Here is a 27799-nt window from a genome sequence, read left to right as displayed (position 1 = left end):
GACGGGGCTCTGCAGCTGGCCTGGGAAGGAAGCTCTAGCCCACATCCATTCTTTCTTTAGCAAAGGAGCTATCTCCCTGGTAGGCCCCTGGGCAGGCTGCGGAGGTCCGTGAACTCTAGCGGGGCTGTGGGCATGATTAAGAGTGAGAGTATGGGGTGCTGGTTTGTGGGCCCATAACTTTCAGCCACCCCTTGAGCAGGCCCAGGACCCCACCGGTTGAGCCTCACAGATGCTCTGGTGGTTCTGGGGGTGCCAAGCTAGAGTATTTGGGAACTATGACTTAGCAGGGCTTGGGCACAAAATACTCCATAGGTGGTTATGACCAAGGCCTCCTAGGGGCTTATCATGGTTTAGAGGGCCCTGGGGTTGAGGGTCCATACCCCTAAGAAACTGTGACTCCGTTCCCCGAGCTGCAGGCAGGTCTGGGGATGGCAGGGCTGAGGATGCACCTTGCCTTATAAATGTCTCCCCACTGTTCCACAACTCCGTGGGGTAAGCATGGCATGGAATGTGGAGGAGAGTCTTAGCAGGCGCCCAATCGGGGGAGTCTGGGGCTTAGTGTTGCCTTTGTTCCCAGCTTACTCTGTAATCCCAACAAGACTTTCCTCACTGTGGGGTCCTCAGCTTCCTCAATTCAGAGGCAAAGAAGTTGGAGTAGAAATGGTTTTTGGGGGGCTGCCATCTCCGAATCTGTGGTCTGATTCTGGGGTGGAGGGGTGAAGGGCAGCACCAGCAAGGCAGTTGTCCTTTGTATGTTGCGTTGAATGTCCGACCACAGCCTCTGGATGCCCAGTGGGCTCAGGGAGGAATGGTGGGCATCAGATGTGTTGGATTGCCCAGCTCCTCCTCCCAGGTCCTCATCTGTCAGAGGAATTTGTGCCCCAGATGCCTCCTTTCCCCTGATTCACAATAGAGGTCAGGAAGGTGGTGAGAAGGTGAGGATGGTGGGGTGGGGAGGATGTGGACAGTCTTACTCATCAGCCCACCTAGCACCCAGCGAGGTGTCCAGCACATGGCAGGCACTCCCTGAGTGTTTGGCTGCTTGTTAGGACCCTGGCTGGCTGCTTGGGACTATCCCACACCTGGACCCTAGGATGCTGGCCCTGGCATGCAGCGGCATGTTTGGTCTGGGTCCTGTGGCATCTCAGGCAGAGAGGCATGAGGGTACCCAGCAGTCCGGAGTCCAGATCCAGTGCCAGCCCCATGGTGTATCGCTCCACCCCAGGGTCACAGGCTTCTTTTATTATGATAGGAGCCCTGCAGTCCTAACCACAGGAGTGGGGCCAGGGACTTTTTGTGCTTGGTTAATTTGGGGGGTCATGGAGGTCAGAGGTGAGATGCAGCCTGTCCCCAGAGAGCCCCATCCTCCCTCTGCTCCCGGGCATGGGCACACAGGACAAGTGTGAGTGTGTTGCTAGGCAGCTGGACATGACATGGCTGCTCTGGCAGCTTGTGCCACCTCGTCAGGCACCGTATGTGTTCCTGCCTGCCTGGGGAGTCCAAGAGAGGAAGGGGGCAGGGAGCCCTGGAGAATGTGCATCTTCCCCTTTCCTTAGGCTTGGCCCACCTCGCCACACGATCTCAGTCAAGGGCCTCTCCTCACCCCATGGGCTTCTATCTCAGCCTTTTCCACTTTGGCAACCCTGGGGGTGAGAGTGAAGGCCTCAAGATGCCTGTCCTGTAGGTATCTCTGGTGAGCAAGGCCGGGGACATGTTACGGGACAAGCTACAGGCTGATTTGTCTCTTCATAGTGTAGATTGCAGAGTGGGACAAATGTTGGGCTCCTCTTCCTCCCTTATGGAGGTAGAATTTGTGTGTGTCAATGCCTGCACCTGAGTGTTCATCCTGATGGGCTTTTACATGTGTGTATACCCATGTAACTACTGCTCTGATCATGTTATAGAATAAGGGTATCCAATCTTTTTGCTTCCCTGGGCCACATTGGAAGAAGAATTTTCTTGGGCCACACCTAAAATACGCTAACACTAATGATAGCTGGTGAGCTAAATAAAACAAGCAAAAATAAAAATAAAAAATAAAGTCACAAAAAAGTCTCATAATGTTTTAAGAAAGTTTATGAATTTGTGTTGGGCCACATTCAAAGCTGCCTGGGCCGCATATGGACTGCAGGTTAGACAAGCATGTTATAGAACATTTCCATCACCTTAGGGGGCTTCCAAGTACCCCCTCCCAGTCCGTGCACCCCAGAGGTAACCACCATTCTGACTCTACCCCAAGGACTACTCTCGCCTGCCTTCATGATGTGGGCTTTTCCCTTAGTCTAGTGGAGATCTGGCCCTTAGCTCAGGGGAGGGAGGCCTGAGGCTAGCCTGTATGTGCAAACCTACTGGCCCTGGAGGCCACTGATGGCTTCAGGTGGTGGCAGGAATTCACCGTAGTAGAGGCCTCCATGGGGTTGGCACTGGTTAACGTGATCCCAGGATCACGCCTGCTACCTCTCCACACATACAGACCCATACCCTGCCGGTGGAGCCAGAAGCGCAGGGGGAGGGCTGACGAGTTCCCTTACAGTTCCTGTCCTTTCCGTCCCAGGTTTGGTCCAAGGAGCTTCTTGACGCAAGGATCCCTTCACCTTAAACTACAATCTGGGTAGTCCCAAGGGCACTTGCACAGAGGGAGGAGACAGAATGGTTAGGGTGGGCGTCCCATCTGTGTCATCCAGAAATGAGCTGACACCAATAGCGGCTGCCCAGACCAGGACAGTGTCCTTTGCCTACCATTCTTCTCAGGTCACCTGGAGGAGAAGGAGAACCCCTCCCCCAGGCTGGGGGAAAGTGCCAGGCAAACCCTTGGACCACACTCCTGCATCCTGGTCTTGGTTACTGCCATAGCCAGGGTCACTCACCACATCTGGTCTGCCCATGGCTTAGGGCTCTGGAGCCATTGGCCGTGGATATATAGTCAGCCTTCCATGCCTGGCTTCTCCGGTAGGACCACAGACCTCAGATCAGCCCATTTATGATCCTGCCCTGGGCGGCTCCCCACTTACAGGAAACCCCACCAAGAGGAATTTGGGCTGCATCATTTCCGGCTTCCTGCCTGGGCTGCTGGAGGTGGCTGGCTGGCAGCCCCCTGACCCAGTGGTGTTTGGAGTGGGGAGAGGGAGGTCTCCACACCTGGGGTGCCTCACTATTTGGGTAAAGCCAGCCCAGAAGTGCATGCTAGGGCTCCCCCTCTTGGCGAAGAAGGCTGGTCCCTTCCTCCTGAGCCCTGGAGTCAGCCCCCCAGGAAGGTGTTGGCGGTCACCTTGGGCATCCCTCTGTTGCCCTGATTGGGAGGGGGTCCCTTAAAAAGCCTAAACCCGCTGCACTCCAGCCTGGGCGACAGAGCGGGACTCCGTCTCAAAAAAAAAAAAAAAAAAAAAGCCTAAACCCAAAGACAGGCCTCTCTCCTTTACTTCCTGTTTTCATGCCTCAGTGGGGGTCACTTGCTGTGGGCAGAGCTCAGGCTGGGCCCCTGACTCAGAGTCTCCTCAATTTTCCTGGGAACTTTGGTGGAAGTCCTTAGAGGGGAAAGGCCTGAGAATTGCCTTCTAGTTGGGAGAGATTCTTATCCCCCTAAGCCTGTCCCTCCCCTGATGGGGATACTTCTGAACACCCTGAGCGCTACAGGGCAAGGCAGAGAGCCAGTCCCCCACCCCCACCCCAGGACAGGGTTTCCTGAGACAGGGTGGGGGCCGCTGGGCAGAGCAAAGTGTCCTGGGAGAGAGGCGCCCTGCCCCCACTCTCAGGCGGCACACAATGGCTGCTTTCTCCCCCGTGACCTTTCCGCAGCCTGAGTCGTATGCAGCTGTCTCCCAAGGGGCCTAGGATGGGTGGCATCTCCTCCACCCTTGAGAAGAACCCCGGAACTCCCACCCAGTCCTGGCCCTGCTTCTTCTCCCAAGTTCACTTTTCCCAAAAGAGTGGAGAGCAGGCTATAGAGGCAGAGGGACAGCAGCAAGTGTGGACATGGCATGGTCTCAGGCATGAAAGTGCCACATCCTGGCAATTCTACTCATTAGCCTCGCATCCTTGAATAAGCCCTTTAACCTCTCTGAGCCACTGTTTCTTCATCACAGAGGTAGCATGTCCTACCTTGCCTGACAGTTGCAAGCAGCATCACACATAATGTACCCAGCTGGTACCTAGTGGGTGCCCAGTCAAGCCCAGCTCCTTTGCTCTGTCCATCTTCCTTAAGAGGGCTCCAGCTTACACCCTCAGTGATGATGGCAGGAGGCTCCAGCATGAAAGGACCTCACCTGCTGGCAGGAGGCCAGAGGCAGGACCTGTGGACGGGTGTGATCTGTCAGGCATGTTTCAACAGCATCTGGCATGCAGCAGCATCTGGGTTGCATCCCCTTGGGGATCCCTTCCTCCCTTCGGGACGGGCTGGGGCAGAGACCTCGTTTCCTGGGAAAAGGCTGAGAGACTGGTAGCAGTGGCTGCAGGGCAGGAAACTGTGCCTGCTGAATGGGCCCTGGGGACTGCATATCCCAGAGGGGTAAGGATGTAGGAAAGGGCATGGCTCTGTCAGCCCCCAGCTGTGAGCTCTTGGGGAGATCCCTCACTGGTAACCTGGCCGTAGTGATGGTCCCAGCTCCTAGGCTGTTGGAGACTGAGTGAGTGAATGTGTGGAGAGTACTAGGCTTGGCACGGGCCAGAGCAGGTGCTCAGGAGGTCTGGCCCATCATCTGGCTCCGGCTGACCCTTGCCCTCACCCTGGCAGACCCTGGCTGGGCATCCATCAGCAGGGGTGTGCTGGTGTGTGACGAGTGCTGCAGCGTGCACCGGAGCCTGGGACGCCACATCTCCATTGTCAAGCACCTTCGCCACAGCGCCTGGCCTCCCACGCTGCTGCAGGTACAGGGCTCAGTCGGGTGGTTCTTCCTTCCCCTCAGGCAGAGTGTGCTGAGCATGAGGGCGTTTCCCCCTCACCCACATACACCCCCATCTGGAATCTGCAGCTTCCAAGGGGCAGCACCCCCCTAGGGCAGAGGCTAATCCTGACCCTTTCCTCCCATCTACTCACTTCATGCAGAAGAGTAGCTCACACCCCTGCTCTGCCACTTATCAACGTGGTCGTGTAGCATTGAGCAAGTTGCTTCACCTCTCTGAGCCTTGGCACACTCATGGGATCTGTGTCTTTGGGCAGCTGGACTAGATGGAGGTGTGGTGGTGCGGGCACACAGTAGGCCCCCTTGGTACCGTTTCCAGCTACGCCAGCCACAGCAGGCGCTCAGGAAGTGTTTCCCCCATTGCTTAGCACGCAGTGGGCACTCTCTCACTTGGCATCTCTTCCCTGCAGATGGTGCACACGCTTGCCAGCAACGGGGCCAACTCCATCTGGGAGCACTCCCTGCTGGACCCCGCACAAGTGCAGAGCGGCCGGCGTAAAGCCAACCCCCAAGACAAAGTCCAGTGAGTGGGGCTGGAGGGGTGGTGGGCAGAGACTGCGCAGTCCGGGACAGGGCCCTGGGAGGTGGCAAGGTGACCACCCTCTCCCACCATGCTCCCCATTCCTCCTGTGTGCCCCATGCAGCCCCATCAAGTCAGAGTTCATCAGGGCCAAGTACCAGATGCTGGCATTTGTGCACAAGCTTCCCTGCCGGGACGATGATGGAGTCACCGCCAAAGACCTCAGCAAGGTTTGAGGGGCCCTACAACAGATGGGTGGCCCCCTCCTCTTCTTCCCATCCACGACTCTCTGAAGGCCTCTCCTTTGTCCCCACTGAGCCCTGGGCCCCAAAGGCAGCCAGGTCAGGGTAACAGTAGACAGGGTGGAGAGAGCAGATTGTTGGGTCAGGCCGTGTGTGGCTGAGGCTCCCCAGCAACCAAGTAGACACACAAGGCTAGAAGCCCACAGCTGCCACTCAGAAGCTGGGAAAACCTGGGGGTAGTTGCTTAGCCACTCATAGCCTCAGTTTACTCATCTGTAAAATGGGAAAGAAATAACAGCATCTACTTCATAAATAGTATCTAAGCAGGGCACACAGCACACGTGGTAGATGGTGACTGACGGCAGCGTTTATTAATTGGCATTAACCCCTAGCGGGAAGCCTCTGTCCTCCCGACATAGTCTGGTTTGGGCAGGCCTCCTTGGAGCTGCTAGGTGTCCCAGGGGCAGCCAGGGTGCAGCTTGTGGGTGGGGAGGTGCGCCTCACGCACATGCGTATTCACTGCACACTCTGCTCCTCTTAGCAACTACACTCGAGCGTGCGGACAGGCAACCTGGAGACATGTCTGCGCCTGCTCTCCCTGGGTGCCCAGGCCAACTTCTTCCACCCAGAGAAGGGCACCACACCTCTGCACGTGGCTGCCAAGGCAGGACAGACACTGCAGGCCGAGCTGCTTGTAGTGTATGGGGCTGACCCTGGCTCCCCTGATGTTAATGGCCGCACACCCATTGACTATGCCAGGTGAGGGTCGGCTGAAGGGTGCAGTGTGGGTGGGTGGGGGTGTGGGTGAGGGCTGCTGCTGCAGGTCTGAGCCATACCCCCTCCTCACAGGCAGGCGGGGCACCATGAGCTGGCGGAAAGGCTGGTTGAGTGCCAATATGAGCTCACTGACCGGCTGGCCTTCTACCTCTGTGGACGCAAGCCGGGTGAGCAGAGCTTGGGGGGCGCCTGGCTGTGACAGGCCTGGCTGGGGCTGGGCAGGTGGGACCTGGACGCACCCGGCAGCAGGTGCCATGGTGACAGAGCGGCTGGGGAGCAATGTTGCTAGGCAACTGGCTCCTGTGAAATTACTGCAGGCTCTGGGCCATAGCATCGCTGGGGCTAGGGAGTGGGGGTGGGCATCCTGCATCCTCCCACGAGCTCCCAGCATTCTTGGGGGTGGCCTGCCCTCCCCACTTTCCCCTGACACTTCTGGGTGCCAGCCCTGCTCATGGCAGTGAGGTGGGCTCCCAGCTGCTGAGGCCACCCAGCACTAGTGAGTGACTTGGCATTTTTATTTTTGTTCAGATCACAAGAATGGGCATTACATCATCCCACAGATGGCTGACAGGTGAGTGCCCACCTGATGCCCCTTTCCAGAGGCTGTTGGATGCCATGTGGGTGGCTGACCCCCAGAGCTCCCAGCCCAGGTTTCAGAGGCCTAGGACCCTGCTCCCTCCCCCCAGAGACTAGAGGCACAGCTTAGTCCTCAGTCCCTAATGCTGGGCCCCAAGGCAGGTAAAAAATGTCAGCTCCATATGTGGCCCGCATAGCCTGAGCCCCGTGACTGTCAAGTACATGGAGGGCTTGGGTGTGAGAAGCTACCTGTGGGCCGGGCGCGGTGGCTCACGCCTGTAATCCCAGCACTTTGGGAGGCCGAGGCGGGCGGATCACCTGAGGTCGGGAGTTCAAGACTAGCCTGGCCAACATGGAGAAACCCCGTCTCTACCAAAAATACAAAATTAGCCAGGCGTGGTGGCGCATGCCTGTATCTCAGCTACTCGGGAGGCTGAGACAGGAGAATCGCTTGAACACAGGAGGTAGAGGTTGCGGTGAGCCGAGAGCACGCCATTGCACTCCAGCCTGAGCAACAAGAGCAAAACTCCAAACTCCGTCTCAAAAAAAAAAAAAAGAAAAAGAAACAGAAGCTACCTCCGGCTGGGAGGGTGGGCCACTGGGTTCTGTCCCAGTGGCACCGACCCCACTGTCTTTAGAGAAGCCTCTGCTCTTCGCTGAAAAGATGGGTGGGCTTCAGGGATGTGACTAACTTTGTGACTGCTGGCTAGGCCTCTAGCGTGCTCAGAATTAGGCACGTGCGCTGAGGCTGGTTGAATGAGGTGTTTCTGCTTCCGTCTGAGAGGCAGTGTGGGACACCCCCTGCCACTCACCCAGCACATAAGATGGATGCTGGTGCCACCTGGTGGCCACCTCTGATGGCCATGTCCTCATGCCAGGCTGTGCCTGCTGGCCTGGATCTGGAGAGAGGAGGTGCTCTCCTCCCCAAGGGCCTGTGTGGGCAGATGGGCATAACCAGGCCTGGGCGACTCAGATCCTAAACCCAGACCTCTTCCAGACCCCAAGGCTCCTACTTCTATGGTCTGATTCTACCTGGGTTGTGTGTGCATGCGTGCATGTGTATGGTAAATACACCCAAATATGGGCTCCATTCAACAGCACATTAACTGAGCACCTTCCCGGAGCCAGCTACTGCTCTTGGCACTGGGAGCACAGAGGCAGCTGAGACACAATCCCTGCCCTTAAGGAGCTCACAATCTAGCTGGGGAGGCAGCCTAGCCAGGTGATTCTAGTCCTCATGGGGGAGTGCAGCAAGAGAGGCAGAGGCATGGAGGGTAGAAATGCTGCATGGGAATGGAGGCAGCCCCCGGGCTGGAGCACAGCATGGGAGGCAGGGAACCCTACAAGCAAGACTGGGATAGAGACGAGCTGGAGAATGAGCAGCCCCGAGAGCATCAGCAGGAGCAGTGACCATCCCGAGAGCGGAGAGTTCCAGGCACAGAAGTGTGAAGTCATCTCTGCTGCTTACTGGCTGTGTGACTTGCAGGCTGCTTGACCTCTCTGAGCCTTGGTTATCTCTCCTGGAAATGGAGATGACAGCATCTATTTTTCAGGGAGGAGAGGATTAGATAAGAATGTATGCAAAATGTTTAGCCTTTTTTTTTTTTTAAGAGTTGGGGTCTCGCTCTGTTGCCCAGGCTGGAGTGCGGTGGCTTGATCATAGCTTACCACAGCCTCAAACGATCCTCCTACCATAGCCTCTTGAGTAGCTGGGACTACAGGCACATGCCACCGTGCTCAGCTAATTTTTAAATTGCTTTTGTATCTCTGTGTTGCCCAGGCTGGTCTCCACCTCCTGGCCTCAAGCGAACCTCCCACCTTGGCCTCCCAAAGTGCTAGGATTACAGGTGTGAGCCACTGTGCCCGTCCCTAGGGTATTCTGATGAAGTATGTTTGGAGTGTGCCATATGCACCTGTTATCACTGCAGTGCCTTAAGGCAAGGGGTAGTGCAGCCAGGTGTATCCAAAAAATCACCCTGGCTGCTGGGTGGAACAGGATTGTAGGGACAAAACTAGAAGGAGGGAGATTAAGAAACTTACAAAGCCCAGGCAACAGGTGATTGAGGAACCTGGGGAGCTTCACTAGGACTGGAGGGTGAGGGAGGCTTCAGGTGACTGCCAGGTGGCTGACACTGGTGGTGGACAAACAGGTCACTGAGAGGAAGAGCAAGCCAGAGGAGGAGGGGTGGGGGACGCGGTGAGATGAATTCAGCTTTGTCCCTTCTGGGCCGGGTGTGCGTGGAGATGGGTCTGGGCCTGATGTGAAAAGGCGTGTGCTGCCCTGCTCCTGGGTAACTGCCGCCTCTGTCCTGTTCTTCCCTCTGCTGCCTTCCTCTGGACTTAGATCTCGGCAAAAGTGCATGTCTCAGAGGTATATGGTGCCTGCCGGGGCAGCAGGCCTGAAGGTGGGGTAGGGCGGGGAGGCATTTGGTGTGCAGCATCTGGGGTGCCATCTCCCCGGGATCCCTGCATGTTGGGGAGGTTGCTGGCATGGGCCTGGCCACCTCTCAGGTCTCTCCTCTCCTCCCAATTCCCATCTCCCTCTGCCCTCAGCCTTGACTTATCCGAATTGGCCAAAGCTGCTAAGAAGAAGCTGCAGGCGGTAAGTCTGCTCCAACAGTGCCCTGACACTTGAAGCTGGCCCCTCTCTGATCCCCCACCCTCTGCTCTTGCTTCCTCTGCCTCTGACTCGATGACCTTTTCCAAGTCTTTGACCTGTCCCCTCACTGGCCTCAGCAGTCCCCTCTCCCTGACCTCCCTACAAGGGGATGGACTGGTCCCTTCTCTCCCACCTTGGAGTTTGGAACATGATCCCTTTCCACTTTCCCATTCTGAGACTGTAGGGGCTGGGCAGCACAAGGAAGGCCACCGGTTCCCCAAGGCTCACAACATGCTGGGGAGCTGGCCTTGGCACTGGGAGCCGATGCATCTGACAACATCTGGGCCCCTCTCTTCCTCCAGCTCAGCAACCGGCTTTTTGAGGAACTCGCCATGGACGTGTATGACGAGGTGGATCGAAGAGAAAATGATGCAGGTGAGTCAGGGAGCAGGAGTGTCTGGCGTGGAGGACCCGAGCGGCCCAGGCATGGGTCTCTGGTCCTTTACTGGGCTAAGAAGGGGTGCCTGGGGTTGGGGCTGCTCAGAGGCCTGCAGATGAGCCCCTGCTGGCTGTGAGCCTGCCTGGGCAGCATCCCAGGCTGGGTAGAGTGCTGAGGGGGAGGCGGCTAGCGTGCTCCTCCCCCAGCCTCAGACTGGGGCTCCTCTTGCTCTGGCAGCCTCCCACTTTGGCTGTCTCCCTGGTACCGCTCCACCCCCCTGCATCACTCCTTCCTGGCCACAGCCGGATTCCAGCCCAAACTCTGGGTTTGGATGAGTGGCACTGGCCTTGTTCCATTTGTCTGTCCCCAGCCGGCCACGCCCAGCCTTGCCCTGGCCCGGCCTAGCTCTGCGTGCCCAAAGACCACCCCTGTTCTGAACACCAGTGCTCAGTAGGCGTGGGGGCAGCTAGGAAGGCTGGGCTCAGTGCTTCCCCACCCCCACCTTGGGGGCCTGGCCACCGTGGCTGATCTGCTCCTGTCCGTCCCCTACAGTGTGGCTGGCTACCCAAAACCACAGCACTCTGGTGACAGAGCGCAGTGCCGTGCCCTTCCTGCCTGTTAACCCGGAATACTCAGCCACGCGGAATCAGGTGAGGGGGCTGGATTGGGGGCCTGGGGTGGTCTACTTCATCCCCGCGGTCCCTCCTCATCCGGCAGTGGGCTGGGGCCTGAGCCAGCTCTCCAGCATTTGCCAGGGCCTCCCTCAGGGCACAGCTGGCACTGGGATTTGGGAAGGTCAGGAGGCTGTTGTTTTGAGCACTTGGGGAGCAGCTCCGGTGGGTGTTCCGGCCTCTGCTCAGGCACCCTACTCTATCATACCCTGCCACGGGTGGCCTTGGCTGCTGACTAGCCAGGTGAAGCTAGGCTGGGACGCTTTAGCTGGGGTTAAATTAAATGGCAGAGCCATGCCTTGCTACTTGGTCCCTGCCGTCCTGCGTCAGTCATAAGGGGTCCCCTGAAGCCAGCCTGGCCCTTTCTGCCTTGCAGGGGCGACAAAAGCTGGCCCGCTTTAATGCCCGAGAGTTTGCCACCTTGATCATCGACATTCTCAGTGAGGCCAAGCGGAGACAGCAGGGCAAGAGCCTGAGCAGCCCCACAGGTGGGAGGGTTGTGTGGGAGGGTGTGGGAAGCAGGCGGGGCTCCAGGGGTCTTTCCTGCATGGCTCTCCCTGCCAGTGGTGACCTGAGAGATGGGTTGTGTGGTGGAGTGTGGCCTGAGTGACACTCCTGTGTCCTCAGACAACCTCGAGCTGTCTCTGCGGAGCCAGAGTGACCTCGACGACCAACACGACTACGACAGCGTGGCCTCTGACGAGGACACAGACCAGGAGCCCCTGCGCAGCACCGGCGCCACTCGGAGCAACCGGGCCCGGGTCTGAGTCCCACCCTCCTTCCCACTCCCCTGTGCCCTGACCCAGGCCTTCGCTGAGGCCCAGCTCTGTCCTCTTGTAGCCCAGGGGCCTGAGGGACAGGTGGGCTGCTCCTAGCCTCAATAACTGCCCCCTGCGGGTGTTGGCCTCCCTGCCCCCAGGTGCTGACCAGCTTAGGTCTCTCTCTGCAGAGCATGGACTCCTCGGACTTGTCTGACGGGGCTGTGACGCTGCAGGAGTACCTGGAGCTGAAGAAGGCCCTGGCTACATCGGAGGCAAAGGTGCAGCAGCTCATGAAGGTCAACAGTAGCCTGAGCGACGAGCTCCGGAGGCTGCAGCGAGAGGTGAGGGTGCAGCCTCGGTGGGAGGGGGAGCCCCAGGACTCCAGGGGGTTGACAGCACTTTGCACCCATAGATCCACAAGCTGCAGGCGGAGAACCTGCAGCTCCGGCAGCCTCCAGGGCCGGTGCCCACACCTCCACTCCCCAGTGAACGGGCGGAACACACACCCATGGCGCCAGGCGGGAGCACACACCGCAGGGATCGCCAGGCCTTTTCCATGTATGAACCTGGCTCTGCCCTGAAGCCCTTTGGGGGCCCCCCTGGGGACGAGCTCACTACGCGGCTGCAGCCTTTCCACAGCACTGTGAGTCACCTATGGGTCTCAAGGTGTGGGGAGATGGGTGGGGCTGCCGCAGGGTCCACCATGACGCTCGCTGTGCTAACATCCCCAGGAGCTAGAGGACGACGCCATCTATTCAGTGCACGTCCCTGCTGGCCTTTACCGGGTAAGCCTGGGGAAGGCGTGTCCATCTTAGCCAGTAGGTTCTGAGCCCCAGGGGGTTCTGGGCTCTGTGCTGAATTCGGGGCTTAAGATGATTAGACTGACCTGGTCCCTGCTGCACTGCTGGTGAGCAGGGGGGCAGTGGGGCACACTGACTCCATCCAGCGCTGCCCTGGGTTTCAGATCCGGAAAGGGGTGTCTGCCTCAGCTGTGCCCTTCACTCCCTCCTCCCCGCTGCTGTCCTGCTCCCAGGAGGGAAGCCGCCACACGGTAATGTTTCCATGCCCAGTGCCCACAGGGTGGCTGGGGGCCGTGTGGGCTAGGGGCAGTGTGGGTCCAGGAACACGGCGCTCACAGCCCCTTCCCTCCGCCCTCCAGAGCAAGCTTTCCCGCCACGGCAGTGGAGCCGACAGTGACTATGAGAACACGCAAAGTGGGGACCCACTGCTGGGGTGAGGCTCCCTGGGTCTCCAGTCCAGCCTGCTCACATGCCGAGGCGGGGAGGTTGAGAGGGCCCCCAGTGTGTGAGGACCAAGGCGGGCGGCTCCGAGGCTGGAACGTGTCTTTCTCTATATGTATCTTTGTCTCTGTTTTCTGGACCTGGGCCTCAGGCTGGAAGGGAAGAGGTTTCTAGAGCTGGGCAAAGAGGAAGACTTCCACCCAGAGCTGGAAAGCCTGGATGGAGACCTAGATCCTGGGCTTCCCAGCACAGAGGATGTCATCTTGAAGACAGAGCAGGTCACCAAGAACATTCAGGAACTGTTGCGGGCAGCCCAGGAGTTCAAGCATGACAGGTACTGAGTGGAGGGGGAGGTGAGGGGGATGCAGTTCCTGTTGGCTTCTAGGGTGTTGCAGAGAGCATGAGGGGCCCTGGGTTCTGCTGTCCCTGGGAACCTCCCTTGAGAGCCCCCTGCTTTATAGCCTCCCTTCTCCCCGCAGCTTCGTGCCCTGCTCAGAGAAGATCCATTTGGCTGTGACCGAGATGGCCTCCCTCTTCCCAAAGGTACAGGGGCCAAAGAGAGGACCAGGAGTGGGAGGGCCTCGAGCTGGGGCAGGCGTGGAGAATCCCATCTGATCGCTACCTGGGTGGAGACACAGACAAACTGGGCCCTGATCTCAGCTGGTGGCTTAAAGTCCAAGGTCCAGCCTCACTCCTGCCCCCTCCAGAGGCCAGCCCTGGAGCCAGTGCGGAGCTCACTGCGGCTGCTCAACGCCAGCGCCTACCGGCTGCAGAGTGAGTGCCGGAAGACAGTGCCCCCAGAGCCCGGCGCCCCAGTGGACTTCCAGCTGCTGACTCAGCAGGTGATCCAGTGCGCCTATGACATCGCCAAGGCTGCCAAGCAGCTGGTCACCATCACCACCCGAGAGAAGAAGCAGTGACCTCTCTCCCCACACCCTCACCTGCACCCTAGGACCTCACTGGCCATAGGAGCTGGGCCACTCCAGACATTAATCCCCACCCCAACAGAGCCACTGGCACAAGTGCCCTTAGTGCTGCCACACTCCCTGGCAGCCAGGTGCCCTGGTGCCCACCCCTGTCGAGCCCCTAAGGATGGGGAGGTGGGGGGGCAGGAGCTTCTGTCCCCCACATTCCATGCACCTCCCCTCTGTATATAGCATCTCCCCCCTCCTAGTGAGCAGGGGCCTGCAAGGCATCACTCCCAGCCCCTCGCCTTCTAGGGCACCCTCAGCAAAGGGGCAGGTGGGGACACTCCAAGTGGGGCAGCTCTCCGTACATGCGCCCCACCCCCATGAGCCAGTTCAGCCCTACTGGGGGCTGAGCGGGGGCATCCCCTCCTTTGTACATAGTCTCCATGGATGTCCCTGCCCTGTAGCCACCAGCCCCTTGCTGCTCTCCCTTTAATGCCATATGGCCCCTGCCTAGGGCACAGGCCCCAACCTGTGTGCTGGGGTCCCCAGCAGCAAACACTGGAAAGTCTGTTTTTTTTTTTTCTTTCTTCTTCCCCACCCCTTAATTTTAACTTTGTGGTAACTGAGTGCCCCCGCGTGCCTGCGTGTTGAGTGTGTGGGCGGCAGTGCCGTTCCGGAGGCCTGGTCCATCTGGAGTTTTGAGGGGTGAGGGGACCAGAGCAGTGGGACCAGCATGGGGATCAGCTTCCCTTCCCCACCTGGAGCCAGGGACTGTCCGGGTAGCCAGTTTTGGTCCTGCCAGCTGCCTCCCTGATCCCTCCCCACTCTCGCCCCTTCTCTATGAACTTAAATCAAAAACCACTTCCCTCCATCTCCTCCTGCTCCTGCGTGGAGGGGGAATGTGTGCTGGCTAGGGTGGAGGACTGAGCACCTGAGCCTGGGGCTGGCTCCCCGGGGTCCCCGACTCAGCTGGTGGCTGTGGAGCTGAGTCCCCTCCCCGTAACCTCTGCAAGGCCAGCACCCACCATCACTACCTGCACCTGCTGTGGTCCCACCCTCTGGAGGCCTGGGAACCTGGCTGCAGCCTGGGAAGGCTGGAGAGGCAGACGGTGGGACCCACCAGCTCTCTCCCCATCCCGCTTCTTCCCTGGGGGCCAGGCCCTACCTGTGTGGTGGTGGGTGGGCTGTCAAGACGTGTCATGTACATTTGTATCAAAAATAAAGAAGTGACCATGAGCTGTTTCTGATGCTTAGAGAATGGGGGCTGGAGGGAGGTGGCAGACATGAAGGGTGACTGCAAGTGCCCCAGGACCCCCGCCCTAGGGAAGCCCCTGTGCTGGGAACGTCTGTCTAGTGGAAGAGTTAGTTTGCGAATAACAAAGCTAACATGTATGACGATAACGCCACCCTCCCACGAGCACATTCCTAAAGCCCCATGTCCAGGGACAGGTTGGCCAGCGGGGGCGGGCTGCCTCAAACACCACCTCCATGGCCTAGGACGAGGGTCCGGGTGGGAGTCTCTGTGCGGCAGATGCACAAGCTCAACTCCAGAGTCTACTAAAAATAATTTAATTAGAAACGGAGTTTTGGCAAGGGAGGCAGAAGCGGCTCCTTTTCTCCCCTTGGCCGCCCACTCAGCAACCAACAAGGAGGAAAGCCCCCGCAGTGCTCGGCCAGTGCCGCGCCATCGCCACCAGGGAGCGCCCCGCGCGCGGTCCACGTGGCAGAGGTCGCGGCCTCGCGGCGCGGGGAGGAGCCGCACGCCACAGTGGCAGGTCCCAGGCCGTCACTCCGAGCTCTCGCCTTCCGGGCCGCTGTCCGGCGTGGGCGGGAGGAGGGGTCTCCGGCGCGAGCGCTTGACCCGGCGCGAGGGCTGCAGCAGCCTCCGCTTCAGCACAGCTGTGGGCCGGGCGCCGAGCAGTCAAGGGCGGGAGGGCAGGGAAGCTACGGGGGGCGGCGGGCGACGCGAGGTGGGGCGGGGGCCTCGGGTAGGGTAGGGAGGGAACTCCTCACCAGCCACTGTGTCCTGGCTGTCCGCTGTGGGCCCCCAGTAGATGCTCTCCCCGCGTCGGAAGTTTCTGTGCAGCCGTGTGCAGAGCGTGGCCAGGGTGAGCAGCACCAGCAGGAAGGTCAGGGCCATGGCAGCCCAGGCGGCCTCTTCAGTGCGTGGGGTGGGGCCCCGGGCTGCCCGTGGAGGCGCTGCTGCGCGAGGGGCCGGGGAAGCCTGACTTGAACAGACACAGCCCCCTGGGCTGCCTTGCCCGTTGGGCACCTGAGCCTCTGTCCTGGAGCTGGCATTGCCTCCAGGCGCCCCCGGCAGCAGGGAGACAGTGGGCACAGATGGGGCATTACTCTCCCTACCAGGGATTCCCGCCATGGACTGCTTGGCCTTCAAGCTCCCTGGGGAAGCAGAGGGAAACCTCAGGGCTGAGCGAGTGGGCTGGGGACCAAGGGCAGCCCGCAGCCTCCGCCTCTTGGCACCACTAGAAGAGGGCTGCCTGGGCCCTTGAGATGTCACCTCTGTGCCAGGGGGCCGCCAGCTCCGCAGAGCAAAGGCCAGAGCCAGGGCCTAAGGAGAGGAGAGAGAGCAATCACCCTGCTGCCCCTCTCAGAGAACCCGAGGGCCAACAAGCCTGGGCCCAGCGTCTCTCACCTGCACACACCCTCTTCGGCACAGCCTCCCTCTACCGGGAGTTGGCTCGGAGGGAGCAGGCCCTGAAAGGCTTTCACAGTAGATCCATGCCTTCTTCTTCCTCTGCTTCCTCCTCCGCCTCCTCATCAGCCAGTGGGCAGCCCAGGCTGGCTCTACCCAGGCCATCTCCAGCGCCAGCCCCCATGCAGTCAGCACCAGGGGCTACGAGAGGAGGTAACTGTTAGAGCTACGAGGAAGGTGGGGACAAACAAGAGGAAACCCTTGAATTTTCCATTCCCTGCACACGGGGCCATAGCCTTCTGCCAGGGCCAGGCAAGCGCCTTTCATCAGCTACATACCCGATCCTGCGTGAGGCTGAAGTCAGGGGTGAGGGAAGGGTTAGCCATACAAGCATAGGCCAGGAGGGCAAGCTGGAGCTTCAGCCAGGGATGGGCACAGGGGTGGTAGAGGAAGGTGACATCCTCAGCCTGGAGGAAAGGCACAGAGACATCAAAGCAGGCCCAGAGCCCTCCCAGAGAATCTCAAGTTCTCCCATCCAGGGGACCAGTTTAAAGGTACTCCCAGGATAGCTGGATGGCTCTTCTACCTTCAGGGCCCAGGAAAGGACAAAGGGCCCTGGGTATTGGCATGTACCCACTCTTGCCTCTGAGTGTTCCTTTCACCCTTCCTCTCCATCAAGTGCCACCCTTCAAAGCTCACAGCATGCCTGGATAATCCTGCCAGACTCAGACCACACTCTAGCCATATTTCCCTGCAGGTGTAACGATGGCTCTACAGGTCCACAATCCAAGCCATAAGCAACCCCCAAATGAAGACCATCGATCCAATCTATACAGTCTCCCAAGAGCATCCAAATACAGGGCAGGCAGGCAGCAGGTGCACAATCTCAGGATGGAAATACTCCATCAATCATTCATTATTCTTTGATTGAGTTGACTTGGTGCTCAGTGCTGTGCTAGATGCTGTGGGAGATGCCAAAGAACTCCTGGACTCTGCTTGCAAGGAGTGTGTGAGAAACTCAGGGAAACAACTAATGCAAATAAAACAGCAAACTAATAAAACTTAGTGATTAGTTGTTAAATTATCAGAGATAGATTCAGAGGAGGAGGGGAGGAATAAAGGCTGATGCCATCGGGCAGTGTCTCAGGGGGAGCTGATGCCAGCTGGGACTGGGAAGATGGCTGGGGGAGTATGGCAGGAGGGCAGGGAGCTGCACTCTCCGAGTCAGGATAGGCCAGGTGTGGAGGAGAATAAACAGGAGCAAAGGGGCTGTGGTAAGGGCGAGGCTGGCACTCATTTGTGTGGCAAACAGCCCGACACAACTGGAGAGGAACCAAGGATGTGGAGAGGTCAGACGAAGCTTACTTAAGTAAGGCCTGAAAAGCCAGGCCGGAGAATATGGCCACGATAAGGTGGGAAATAAGGAGCCATTGACAGTTTGTGAACAGAGGAATGACTTCATGAAAGGGCTGTTTGAGGAAAGGAATCTGATAGGTGGCGTGAGGCAACAACTCTTGGCCTGGAGCTATTACAGAGAATTTTTTTTTTTTTTTGAGACAGTCTCGCTCTGTCGCCAGGCTGGAGTGCAGTGGCATGGTCTCGGCTCACTGCAACCTCTGCCTCCTGGGCTCAAGCAATTCTCCTGCCTCAGCCTCCCAAGTAGCTGGGATTACAGGGGTGTGCCACCACGCCCAGCTAATTTTTGTATTTTTAGTAGAGACAGGGTTTCACCATGTTGGCCAAGCTGGTCTTGAACTCCTGACCTCAGGTGTTCCACCCGCCTCAGCCTCCTAAAGTACTGGGATTACAGGTGTGAGCCACCATGCCTGGCCAATTTAAGTTAGGTATTTCAGGCCAGGCATGGTGGCTCACACCTGTAATCCCAGCACTTGGGAGGCTGAGGCAGGCAGATCACTTGAGGTCAGGAGCTCAAGACCAGCGTGGGCAACATGGTGAAACCTCGTCTCTACTAAAAATACAAAATTAGCTAAGCTAGGTGGCACACGCCTGTAATCCCAGCTGCTCGGGAGGCTGTGGCATAAGAATTGCTTGAACCTGGAGGCAGAGGTTGCAGTGAGTGCCACTGCACTCCAGCCTGGGCAACAGAGTGAGATTCCATTTCAAATAATAATAATAATAAGTATTTCAAAGGAAAATTCAGAGGAGCTGGCGATGAAGATGGAGATGCTACCACGCAAGCTGAGCCCGCAGTGTGGAGCCTGGCAACTGGAGGCACACTCCTTGCACGATGCAGCTCTGTACTGTACACGGTGCTGGCACATACCCTCCCTCGCTGCTCACAGGTAGAGACAGAATTAATACCCTCTCCTACAGAAAGCTGGGGCCCACAAAGTCAGGAGACTTCCCGCTGTCTCCTCAGGGAGCTGGAGCCTGGGTTTTTTCCAGCTACTCTCAGAGAGAGTTCCACTCACAGCCACTTGTCCACAGAGCCAGCTACCCAACAGCATCCTGACACAGCATTGCAGATGACAGGCCTATGGCTCACTGTCTTTGAGCCATCTGTCCTGGGGCTGATCTGTCCTGGGCTTGGAGGTGGGGCAGAGAACTAGAACCCTGCCTCTGCCTGAGGGAAGTGGTAAGGAATGGGGCCGATCAGCAGAACAGGCAGCGAAGCCTGCTAGGAGCGCCTGTCTCCAGGCGTGGACACCAAGGGTGGTGGGCCCCTGCTTGTACTCACCTGCCCTGGGCTCACTCGTGTGTAGGTCACTCTTGGTGACACCTATACATGGGGAAAGAACAGAGCTTAGGGCAGTTGGGGGACTCCGTGTGTGTGTGGTGGGGAGGGGACGGCAGGCCCCAAGCGCCAGGCTGGGATGGAGAAGTTGGCTACTGAGGACTGAGGAACCGGCAGAGGTCCTCAGATGGTGACTGTGGAGGGTGCGGCGAGAACAGAGCGGGACTGGGCTAGCCTTTCACATCCCTCTCTCCCTGGGCCCTCCAGGGCTCCTACCTGCGGAGGCAGAGGCCACAGGCTCTCGGGACAATGGGCTCCCGCCTCCTCCGCCGGTCCAGCCATCACCTGTGGGTCCAAAGCGAAGAGTTGGGGCGCTGGACGCGGCGAGGCCCTGCCCTCTCTCTCCCCAGGCCCAGCCCGCCAGCGGAAGAACTCCGCGTCCCCCTCGGCGCGCCACTCCTTCCAGGACGAACTTTTGGCAAAGCGCTTTGAGCTCGCGGGCCGAGGCCTTCCCAGGAGCGGGTCACCTTACCTCGCTGGGACCCAGGAGCCTCGCGAGGGCTGCCAGGAGAAGCAGTTGGGGCGAAGGCGGAGGAGGCGCCATTCCAAGCGGCCCCGGGCCCGGCCCGCCGCCCAGCCGCTCCGCCAGCGAGGGAGCGCGCGCGCCCCGCCCCTCCAGCCCCAGCGCCCCCGCGCCGCCCGCGCCGCCCGCGCGTCCGTTGGCCCTGGGCTCGCGCGCGCCCCTCCCCAGACAGTGGGCCCCCGGTATCGCCCCGCCCCAATGCCCGCCCACAGCAGCGGAGTGTGCGCGCACGCGTCTTAAACCCGAAGCCGGAAAAGTTAAGTGTAGGAACCGGGTCAGCGCGCAAGGCTCAGTAGGGCAGGCGGGGGGCCCCTTTCCTCGTCCGGGGATTCGTCTCAGCAGGTCCCTGCAGTCTGTAGAGCAGCTGCACAGCTGCAGCGCCTGGATGAGATCGTGGAGCGGAGTGTAAGGCCGGAAATGGAATCCCTGTGGACCGGGTGGCCCAGGCTGGGGAGACGGGTACACTCCCCTGGCAAACCCGCTTCAGATTTGTCGGTGTGACCTGCAATGAGAAGAGGGGCAGAATCATGAAGTCAGGAAGAGCTGCTGAAGGGAGAGGGTCCCACCTCTGGAGCTTCGCCGTCGGCCCACCCCGCTCCCGCCCTCGCAAATAGGGTCCAACGCGGAGGAGCCTCGGGAGGTGTCTCCGCTCCCCAAACTCTCCAAACCCAGAAGCCCCGGGAGGCCGGAGCTAGCCGAGAGGCTGCTGTCTTCCCCACCTCCGCCGTCGCCCAGCGGTGGCAGGCGCGCGTCTAGAAAGAGATTGGTCGCCGCGAGATGGGGACGCCACAGGCCTCACCCCCAGGAGGTGCGCTGGCCGGCCCGCCCCGCAGCGGGGCGCTGGTTCTGGTTCCCTCTCCAGGATTTGGGGGGGAAACGTGGGTAGAGAGCGAGGGTCGAGATGCCTATCCCAAAGCTTGGAAACAGCGAGAACGTGTTATTTCCGTGGTCTCCCATGCACCCCGGTTTACGAGGCGTTCCTTGTAGGTCGGACGGGCATCCCTGTCGCAGGGCGCCTGAGTGTGTCCTTTTCTCCGACTGACTCTCGGAGGCTTGGGGCTGCTGTTTCTGGGGAAGCCACTCCCGGGCTGAGGATTTCCTTGATGTGGAGCCCCGAGCTCGCGGGGACGGGGGCGAGGAGTCCACGGGACCCGCACTGATGCAGGCGGGGAAGCAGCAGCCTCCCGCCAGCGGCTCAAGACGCCGCGCTCGACCTCTCTAGCCCAGTGCCGGACCCCGCCCAGCCAAGTTATTGCGGGGTTGCGGGGCCGGGCGGGGGAGAGCAGGGCCGCCCGAGGGCAGAGCGCGCGCGCGGCCGCCGCCCCACGGGGTCCCGGGAGCCGGCGCCCGGAGCTGCGACTTACTCACCTCTCCCTTCTGCTTCTTTTCATCGGCCTCTGAGGGCGCAGCGCCCAGGGTCTGGCGGAAGACCCTGATGACAGTCGGGTCCCCAAGCCTCGGCCTCCAGTCTCCCCACGTCTCCATGGCCAACACCGCTCTCCCCGGCTCGTGCCCTCCCCACTCCCTTCCGGCTGCCGGCGCGCCCTCCCTCCCTGGTGGCCCCGGCTCCTCTCACCCTCTGCTCCCACTTGTTGCAATTGCTGTACAAAGGGCCGGGGCGGGGGTGGGGGGCGGGCGAGGGCAGCCGGGCCCGAACTGGCTGCCTCTGCCCGGCCACGGCCAATCCAGAGCGCGCCCGCGCGGGAGGGCCCTGGGCAGCCGCCGCCGGCGGGCGGAGCCGCGGGCAAAGCGCGGAGCTCGCCGAGTAGACGGCCCCGCCGCCCGCTGCCCGCCGGGGCTCTCCAGCTTCGCCATGCCGCCGTGGGGCGCCGCCCTCGCGCTCATCTTGGCCGTGCTCGCCCTTCTCGGCCTGCTCGGCCCGCGGCTCCGGGGACCCTGGGGGCGCGCCGTCGGAGAGAGGACCCTGCCGGGGGCCCAAGACCGAGACGACGGGGAGGAGGCGGACGGCGGAGGCCCGGCGGACCAGTTCAGCGACGGGCGCGAGCCACTGCCGGGAGGGTGCAGCCTTGTTTGCAAGCCGTCGGCCCTGGCCCAGTGCCTGCTGCGCGCCCTGCGGCGCTCAGAGGCGCTGGAGGCCGGCCCGCGCTCCTGGTTCTCCGGGCCCCACCTGCAGACCCTCTGCCACTTCGTCCTGCCCGTAGCGCCTGGGCCTGAGCTGGCCCGGGAGTACCTGCAGTTGGCGGACGATGGGCTAGTGGCCCTGGACTGGGTGGTAGGACCTTGTGTTCGGGGCCGCCGGATCACCAGCGCCGGGGGCCTTCCTGCGGTGCTTCTGGTGATCCCCAATGCGTGGGGTCGCCTCACCCGCAACGTGCTCGGCCTTTGCTTGCTCGCCCTGGAGCGCGGCTACTACCCGGTCATCTTCCATCGCCGCGGCCACCACGGTTGCCCACTGGTCAGCCCCCGGCTGCAGCCTTTCGGGGACCCGTCCGACCTCAAGGAGGCGGTCACATACATCCGCTTCCGACACCCGGCGGCGCCGCTGTTCGCGGTGAGCGAAGGCTCGGGCTCGGCGCTGCTCCTGTCCTACCTGGGCGAGTGCGGCTCCTCCAGCTACGTGACAGGCGCCGCCTGCATCTCGCCCGTGCTGCGCTGCCGAGAGTGGTTCGAGGCCGGCCTGCCCTGGCCCTACGAGCGGGGCTTTCTGCTCCACCAGAAGATCGCCCTCAGCAGGTGGGTAACGGAGGCCGCAGACCAGCATGGAAAGAATAGAGGGCCTGAGCTGGCTAAGAATCAGAAACAGCTATGCATAGCATTGGAACAGGCGTGGGCCAGTTTGGGCAAAGTTCTCTGAACACATCTTCCAAAGCCTTCCAAACCCTGTAATCTAGACAGAACCGGGGAAGCGGGTTTAAAGGTCATCGATGGACTCAGCTAGTATCGCTGTGCTAGAGCAGGGACTCCTAACCCGGCCCCTTGCCTCATCTCGGCACCCCCTGCTGTATCCTAGCAATCTGAGCACCTGGCCCACGACAGCAGAGATACCTGACATTTACCACTTAGCCCACAGCTTAACAGCTCAGCAAAGAGCACTCTGGAAGCAATTGCAAACGATTATCTGCCCAGAATGTTTACTCACAGTCTCTGAGCCTGGAGGTGACAGGAATCAGAAATATGGTGGCATTTGAGGCCAGGTGCAGTGGCTCCCGCCTGTAATCCCAGCACTTTGGGAGGCCAAGGCAGGAGGATCACTTGAGCCCAAGAGTTTGAGACTAACTTGGGCAACATAGGAAAACCTGTCTCTACAAAAATTTCTTTTTTTAATTAGCCGGGTGTGGTGGCATGCATCTGTGGTCCCAGCTACTCAGGAGGTTGAGATGGGAGGATCACCGAAGCCCAGAAGTTCGAGGCTGCAGAGAGCCCTGGTCAGGCCACTGCACTCTAGCCTGGGTGACAGAGCAACACCCTGTCTCAAAAAAAAATGTTATATATATATATACACACACACGCATATATGTAGGCATTTATTAAAATTATTATTTTTTAAAAGTATTTTTTTTTTTAGACAGTCTCACTTTGTCACCCAGGCTGAAGTGTAGTGACATGATCTCGGCTCACTGTAACCTCCACCTCCTGGGTGCAAGCTATTCTCCTGCCTTAGCCTCTGAAGTGGCTGGGGACTACAGGCGTGCACCACCACACCCAGCTAATTTTTAATATTTTTTTTGGTAGAGACGGGGTTTCTCCATGTTTGCCAGGCTGGTCTGGAACCCCTAATGTCAAGTGATCCGCCTGCCCCAGCTTTCAAAGTGCTAGGATTACAGGTGTGAGCCACCGTGCCCAGCTGTTTGTTTGTTTTTTGAGGCAAGATCTTACTCTGTCGCCCAGGCTGGAGTGCAGTGGTGGAATCACCACTCATTGCAGCCTTGAGTTCCTGGGCTCAGGTGACATTCCTAGCCTGCACTCTGGCTTTCTTAGGAGATGGCAGAATGAGGTCGAAGTCATTATGGCAACAGTGTGGTGTAGCAGAAAGACCTGGGATGTGGGGGCCAGACCCCCACCTCAGCCTCCCGAGTAGCTGAGACTACAGGCACATGCCACCATGCCCGGTTAATTTTTGTATTTTTCATAAAGATGGGATTGTGCCATGTTGTCCAGGCTGGTCTTGAATGTCTAGACTCAGGGAATCCACCCGCCTTGGCCTCCCAAAGTGCTGGGATTATAGATGTGAGCCACTATGCCTGGTCAGAGATTAACATCTAATTTCAACTGTCTGAGGCTGGATTGAGCTATTCAAAAGACGGAGCTGCTCATCCTGGCCTCCTTGTCAGGATGCCAAGCCCTCTCCAGGGGTCTAGAAACAGCAAAGATGTTCCCTGTTACCCAAAGCAGTTGCTCTGAGGCCCCCATTTAGGAATCCACCCAGTAAATTAATGACCAACTCAATTGCTTCCTCTGCCAGGCAGCACACTCTCTAGGAATATCTGCCCCAGGTATACCTGATCAACATCACACTCATGTGACATTACCAGGACAGGATGTTAGTTTAAAAAGCAAAAATAAAAACAATGAATGCAACCTAAAGTCAAATGTGAATTATTAGCAGAGGTGTCACCTGCTGGTTTGGATACTCTGAGCAGCAAGTTCTTCTAGGAGCAGTTTAGTAGGTTACAGTTCATAGCAAGTTCTCCACAGAGGGCCAGAAGTTGAGGTTAGGAGAACTGTCAGCAGCTGTGAAGTCAAATGCTGCCCCTAGGGCACATAGACAGGTGCAGTGATGCTGTGAATGACAGGCCTAGTGGGCACCGTCACACAGGAAGGAGGGAGGAACCCATTGTTGTGCTGAGAAATGCCCACCCATGTGGCTGGATCTTCCCACTTCCCTAGAGAAGCCAGACACCTGCATTTTATGTGAAATCTTCTAATTTTATTATTTTATTTATTTATTTATTTATTTTTTGAGATGGAGTCTCGCTCTGTCAGCAGGCTGGAACGCAGTGGCACGATCTCGGCTCACTGCAACCTCTGCCTCCTGGGTTCAAGTGATTCTCCTGCCTCAGCCTCCCAAGTAGCTGGGACTACAGGTGTCCGCCACCACGCCCAGCTTATTTTTGTATTTTTAGTAGAGATGGGGTTTCACCGTGTTGGCCAGGATGGTCTCAATCTCTTGACCTCGTGATCCACCTGCCTCAGCCTCCCAAAGTTCTGGGATTACAGGCATGAGCCACCGCGCCTGGCCACTTTTATTATTTTATATTATTTTATTTTATTTTTTGAAATGGTCTCTCTGTGTCACCCAGGCTGGAATGCAATGGTGCAATCATAGCTCACTGCAGCCTTGACCTCCCAGGCTCAAGCAGTCCTCCCACCTCAGCCTCCTGAATAGCTGGGACTGAGCCACCATGCCAAGCTAATTTTTTTTTTTTTTTTTTTTAGAGATGGGTTTTCGCCCTGTTGCCCAGGCTGTTCTCAAACTCCTGGACTTAAGTGATCCACCCACCTCGTTGGCCTCCCAGAGTGTTTGGATTACAGGCGTGAGCCACCACAACCAGCCTTATCTGGTTTTAAATGATGGCCATGAAATTAAACGTTTTCGAAGCCCTAAATGGCCAAAGAAAGCCTCTGTGGACAGATCTGGCCTGCGGGCTGTCTGTCTGTCTCATCTGCTGTCACCTGATGTTCTCATTCTTCCCTCTCTTTCCCACCTTCCCCACTAAACACCTCGCTGCCAGGTATGCCACAGCCCTGGAGGACACTGTGGACACCAGCAGACTGTTCAGGAGCCGTTCCCTTCGAGAGTTTGAGGAGGCTCTCTTCTGCCACACCAAAAGCTTCCCCATCAGCTGGGATACCTACTGGGACCGCAACGACCCGCTCCGGGATGTCGATGAGGCAGCCGTGCCTGTGCTGTGTATCTGCAGTGCTGACGACCCCGTGTGTGGACCCCCAGACCACACTCTGACAACTGAACTCTTCCACAGCAACCCCTACTTCTTCCTCCTGCTCAGTCGCCACGGAGGCCACTGTGGCTTCCTGCGCCAGGAGCCCTTGCCAGCCTGGAGCCATGAGGTCATCTTGGAGTCCTTCCGGGCCTTGACTGAGTTCTTCCGAACGGAGGAGAGGATTAAAGGGCTGAGCAGGCACAGAGCTTCCTTCCTTGGGGGCCGTCGTCGTGGGGGAGCCTTGCAGAGGCGGGAAGTCTCTTCCTCTTCCAACCTGGAGGAGATCTTTAACTGGAAGCGATCATACACAAGGTGAAAGACCTGGCCTGAGAACCCCCAAGTCCTGCAAAGAAAAACAGAGCTGGGCAAGGGGGAGTCCTGGAAAGATGGGGCGGACTGAACAGAGGGAGCTCCAGCTCTGTGCTCCTCATTCAGTCCCTCTCTCTTAAATTGGTGCCTTGAAAGAGAAGGAACGTCCTGCGAGCCTGCACTCACTTCATCCTCAGCAGAACTCCTGCCTGGCCTCTGCTCAACATATCCCTACTCATCCGGTCAGCAGCGGCGCGTTCCAGTCACTGTCACCTGTCACTGACATCACAAGCCAAAGGATAGCACTTTTTCAATCCATGGACTCAGGAGAAAATGCCCTCTTACTGGCAGTGGCTAGAGGGATGAGACGTTTGTGTATGTCACTGGGCAGTGACCCCGATTCTCAAGCTGGAGCCATTTGATGTCATGAGGACAGGATGTTTGTGTCTCGGCCCCACTTCCCTCATTTGCTCTGTGGTTGTGGCGCCCTGCTTTGACCGAATGCTCTGGCAACTGCGGCAGCAGGCTTGTGTGTGTGAGAAGGGCGGCAGAGGCAGTGGGGCTGGCTCGCTGAGGGCTGAGCAGGTAGAGAATGTGAATGTCCATCTCAAGGAATGCGAAGTTCCAATCTCTCAGAGGAGCTCTGCAAGTCTCAGCTAGGAATGGGGCTGATCTGGCCCCCAAGCCTCACTGGAGAGATCCCAAGGGTATTTTACAAATAGGAAGCGCTCTCATGCAGGATCTGAGGGCTTTGCTAGACCATGGTTCAAGGAGTCAGAATCTTGGCTACCCTACATGCTCCCTCTGGCACCATTTCAGGGGATTACTCCAGAGAGCTGCAGCCAGAACTGTTTATCTCCTGAGATATGGACTTTCTCTAAGTCAGGAAAAGCACAAACCTCATAACTTAGGTGTTTTCTGGTTGGTTGCTCCCTTTTCTGATCCTACTACTGGCCTCTCCCTTTCCAGAGCCAGGAGACACATCTGGGACCAGAGGAAACAAAAGCACCAAGAGGTTGACTAGAGCTGACCAGTGATTTACAAATATTTCATATTCCAATGCTTCGTCTGCTCAATTATTCAAAAGGCCATCCCTGTAAAGGCAGAAAAGCTTCCTCTTAGATCTGGCCACTCAGCAAATAAGTGGGTATTTGGTTTTATGAAGAATAATGCTGAGGACTAGAGATATAGTATATCAGAGATAATATATAGTATACAGGTTGATCTAAATATTCTGGTTTGGATTAGGCAATTAAAATTTTTTTGGCAACAGGACATATGTTTCCATGTGTTGCTAAGATTCAAAAACTTTGCCCTGAAGTTTTATTTTAATCGTCATTGAGAAAGAGGGCTCCTGTTCTGACCTCAAAAACAGCAAAGCTGTTGTAAAGAAGAGAGCTGCTTATACGAAAACCCACATTCCAAGACTTGGTATAAGGTATTCCTGAGGCCTTGATTTCAGGTTTGGATAATCTTGCCCCAGATTCTAGATCTTGTTCTTCTAGATCAAATCAGAAGAAACTTTGAAATAACTCCAAGAATCTGCACTGAAATGTAGACAGCACTCGATAATCTAAGGGACATTATCTTGTTGTGAAAAATTATCTCCCTCCTGGCTGGGAGCGGTGGCACACACCTATAATCTCAGCACTTTGGGAGGCCGAGGTGGGTGGATCACGAGGTCAGGAGATCGAGACCATCCTGGCTAACACAGTGAAACCTCATCTCTACTAAAAATACAAAAAATTAGCCGGGCGTGGTAGCGGGTGCCTGTAATCCCAGTTACTCAGGAGGCTGAGGCAGGAGAATGGCGTGAACCCGGGAGGCGGAGCTTGCAGTGAGCTGAGATCGCACCACTGCACTCCAGCCTGGGCGACAGAGTAAGACTGTGTTTCAAAAAAAAAAAAGAAAAGAAAAATTATCTCCCTTCTCCCCACTTCTTGTTTCTCCTCCTCCATATTCCTCATCTGACGTTCTTTTGCCGTTTCTAAGCAGGATAAATAAAAAGGAACTGAAATTAA

At 58.0% G+C, this 27799-nt stretch overlaps 3 protein-coding genes across 22 annotated transcripts in view, besides 11 other annotated features; 2 read left to right on the top strand and 1 right to left on the bottom strand.

Annotated features, from left to right (window-relative positions):
- Positions 1-416: part of an enhancer, noted in NCBI's record as "H3K4me1 hESC enhancer chr17:27914948-27915847 (GRCh37/hg19 assembly coordinates)", that runs on past the window's edge. NCBI's record gives its function as "activates a minimal SCP1, AML or CMV promoter by ChIP-STARR-seq in primed H9 embryonic stem cells {active_cell/tissue: H9 hESC(primed)}" and the evidence as "EXISTENCE:reporter gene assay evidence [ECO:0000049][PMID:30033119]".
- Positions 1-14871, top strand: part of GIT1 (GIT ArfGAP 1) — a 16174-nt gene extending 1303 nt beyond the window's left edge. For 2 of the 5 annotated variants that reach the window (NM_014030.4, XM_047435858.1), the window contains exons 2-20: positions 4730-4863; positions 5309-5421; positions 5543-5648; positions 6202-6419; positions 6510-6604; positions 6966-7008; positions 9567-9615; positions 9975-10047; positions 10604-10701; positions 11099-11210; positions 11350-11483; positions 11672-11824; positions 11896-12126; positions 12215-12268; positions 12448-12534; positions 12643-12716; positions 12876-13058; positions 13204-13267; positions 13432-14871. In NM_014030.4, coding sequence (NP_054749.2) covers positions 4730-4863; positions 5309-5421; positions 5543-5648; positions 6202-6419; positions 6510-6604; positions 6966-7008; positions 9567-9615; positions 9975-10047; positions 10604-10701; positions 11099-11210; positions 11350-11483; positions 11672-11824; positions 11896-12126; positions 12215-12268; positions 12448-12534; positions 12643-12716; positions 12876-13058; positions 13204-13267; positions 13432-13644 — 2234 coding nt within the window. In that variant the 3' untranslated portion in view covers positions 13645-14871. Of the gene's footprint in view, positions 1-4729; positions 4864-5308; positions 5422-5542; positions 5649-6201; positions 6420-6509; positions 6605-6965; positions 7009-9357; positions 9385-9566; positions 9616-9974; positions 10048-10603; positions 10702-11098; positions 11211-11349; positions 11484-11671; positions 11825-11895; positions 12127-12214; positions 12269-12447; positions 12535-12642; positions 12717-12875; positions 13059-13203; positions 13268-13410 lie in introns of all 5 variants that reach the window. The other 3 variants (NM_001085454.2, XM_011524684.3, XM_011524685.3) reach the window with 3 other exon arrangements.
- Positions 2599-3411: an enhancer, noted in NCBI's record as "H3K4me1 hESC enhancer chr17:27911953-27912765 (GRCh37/hg19 assembly coordinates)". NCBI's record gives its function as "activates a minimal SCP1, AML or CMV promoter by ChIP-STARR-seq in naive H9 embryonic stem cells {active_cell/tissue: H9 hESC(naive)}" and the evidence as "EXISTENCE:reporter gene assay evidence [ECO:0000049][PMID:30033119]".
- Positions 3080-3169: an enhancer, noted in NCBI's record as "active region_11981". NCBI's record gives its function as "activates an Ori minimal core promoter by ATAC-STARR-seq in GM12878 lymphoblastoid cells {active_cell/tissue: GM12878}" and the evidence as "EXISTENCE:reporter gene assay evidence [ECO:0000049][PMID:35858748]".
- Positions 3412-4226: an enhancer, noted in NCBI's record as "H3K4me1 hESC enhancer chr17:27911138-27911952 (GRCh37/hg19 assembly coordinates)". NCBI's record gives its function as "activates a minimal SCP1, AML or CMV promoter by ChIP-STARR-seq in naive and primed H9 embryonic stem cells {active_cell/tissue: H9 hESC(naive and primed)}" and the evidence as "EXISTENCE:reporter gene assay evidence [ECO:0000049][PMID:30033119]".
- TP53I13 (tumor protein p53 inducible protein 13) lies at positions 6006-22046 on the bottom strand. 16 transcript variants are annotated; one of them, XM_047437003.1, is made up of 8 exons: positions 21758-22046; positions 19798-20068; positions 19260-19328; positions 18987-19028; positions 16627-16755; positions 16289-16489; positions 15649-16204; positions 6006-8555 (listed from the first exon to the last, which is right to left on the bottom strand). In XM_047437003.1, the coding sequence occupies exons 3-8, from the start codon at positions 19323-19325 to the stop codon at positions 8242-8244; spliced, it is 1308 nt and encodes a 435-aa protein (XP_047292959.1). In that variant the 5' UTR covers positions 19326-19328; positions 19798-20068; positions 21758-22046; the 3' UTR covers positions 6006-8241. The 16 variants fall into 16 exon arrangements, with proteins under 16 accessions (XP_047292959.1, XP_047292956.1, XP_047292957.1 ...); XM_047437000.1 differs by lacking the exon at positions 21758-22046 and adding an exon at positions 20935-21173; XM_047437001.1 differs by lacking the exon at positions 21758-22046 and adding an exon at positions 20366-20928.
- Positions 15386-15455: a silencer, noted in NCBI's record as "silent region_8376". NCBI's record gives its function as "represses an Ori minimal core promoter by ATAC-STARR-seq in GM12878 lymphoblastoid cells {active_cell/tissue: GM12878}" and the evidence as "EXISTENCE:reporter gene assay evidence [ECO:0000049][PMID:35858748]".
- Positions 18605-19105: an enhancer, noted in NCBI's record as "H3K4me1 hESC enhancer chr17:27896259-27896759 (GRCh37/hg19 assembly coordinates)". NCBI's record gives its function as "activates a minimal SCP1, AML or CMV promoter by ChIP-STARR-seq in primed H9 embryonic stem cells {active_cell/tissue: H9 hESC(primed)}" and the evidence as "EXISTENCE:reporter gene assay evidence [ECO:0000049][PMID:30033119]".
- Positions 19409-19768: a silencer, noted in NCBI's record as "silent region_8375". NCBI's record gives its function as "represses an Ori minimal core promoter by ATAC-STARR-seq in GM12878 lymphoblastoid cells {active_cell/tissue: GM12878}" and the evidence as "EXISTENCE:reporter gene assay evidence [ECO:0000049][PMID:35858748]".
- Positions 20189-20238: an enhancer, noted in NCBI's record as "active region_11980". NCBI's record gives its function as "activates an Ori minimal core promoter by ATAC-STARR-seq in GM12878 lymphoblastoid cells {active_cell/tissue: GM12878}" and the evidence as "EXISTENCE:reporter gene assay evidence [ECO:0000049][PMID:35858748]".
- Positions 20769-21028: a silencer, noted in NCBI's record as "silent region_8374". NCBI's record gives its function as "represses an Ori minimal core promoter by ATAC-STARR-seq in GM12878 lymphoblastoid cells {active_cell/tissue: GM12878}" and the evidence as "EXISTENCE:reporter gene assay evidence [ECO:0000049][PMID:35858748]".
- Positions 21119-21738: a silencer, noted in NCBI's record as "silent region_8373". NCBI's record gives its function as "represses an Ori minimal core promoter by ATAC-STARR-seq in GM12878 lymphoblastoid cells {active_cell/tissue: GM12878}" and the evidence as "EXISTENCE:reporter gene assay evidence [ECO:0000049][PMID:35858748]".
- ABHD15 (abhydrolase domain containing 15) lies at positions 21309-27799 on the top strand. Its single transcript, NM_198147.3, has 2 exons — positions 21309-22260; positions 25260-27799. Exons 1-2 carry the CDS (start codon positions 21380-21382, stop codon positions 25783-25785), a joined length of 1407 nt encoding a protein of 468 aa, NP_937790.2. The 5' UTR covers positions 21309-21379; the 3' UTR covers positions 25786-27799.
- Positions 22259-22368: an enhancer, noted in NCBI's record as "active region_11979". NCBI's record gives its function as "activates an Ori minimal core promoter by ATAC-STARR-seq in GM12878 lymphoblastoid cells {active_cell/tissue: GM12878}" and the evidence as "EXISTENCE:reporter gene assay evidence [ECO:0000049][PMID:35858748]".

Source organism: Homo sapiens, chromosome 17, assembly GCF_000001405.40.
Source record: "Homo sapiens chromosome 17, GRCh38.p14 Primary Assembly".
Lineage (NCBI taxonomy): Eukaryota > Metazoa > Chordata > Mammalia > Primates > Hominidae > Homo > Homo sapiens.
The sequence above is the reverse complement of the archived record's forward strand: the minus strand, read 5'-3'. Positions and strand labels throughout refer to the sequence as shown.

Excerpts from the sequence above, each read along its gene's own strand:
- ABHD15 (NM_198147.3), top strand. The coding sequence starts at position 21,380 with ATGCCGCCGTGGGGCGCCGCCCTCGCGCTCATCTTGGCCGTGCTCGCC. Across the intron at positions 22,261-25,259 it reads CAGAAGATCGCCCTCAGCAG|GTATGCCACAGCCCTGGAGG; the intron begins GTGGGTAACGGA and ends CCTCGCTGCCAG.
- TP53I13 (XM_047436999.1), bottom strand. The coding sequence starts at position 19,587 with ATGGCGCCTCCTCCGCCTTCGCCCCAACTGCTTCTCCTGGCAGCCCTC. Across the intron at positions 16,490-16,626 it reads TCAGCCTCACGCAGGATCGG|CCCCTGGTGCTGACTGCATG; the intron begins GTATGTAGCTGA and ends CTCCTCTCGTAG. Across the intron at positions 16,205-16,288 it reads GCCGAAGAGGGTGTGTGCAG|GCCCTGGCTCTGGCCTTTGC; the intron begins GTGAGAGACGCT and ends TCCTCTCCTTAG.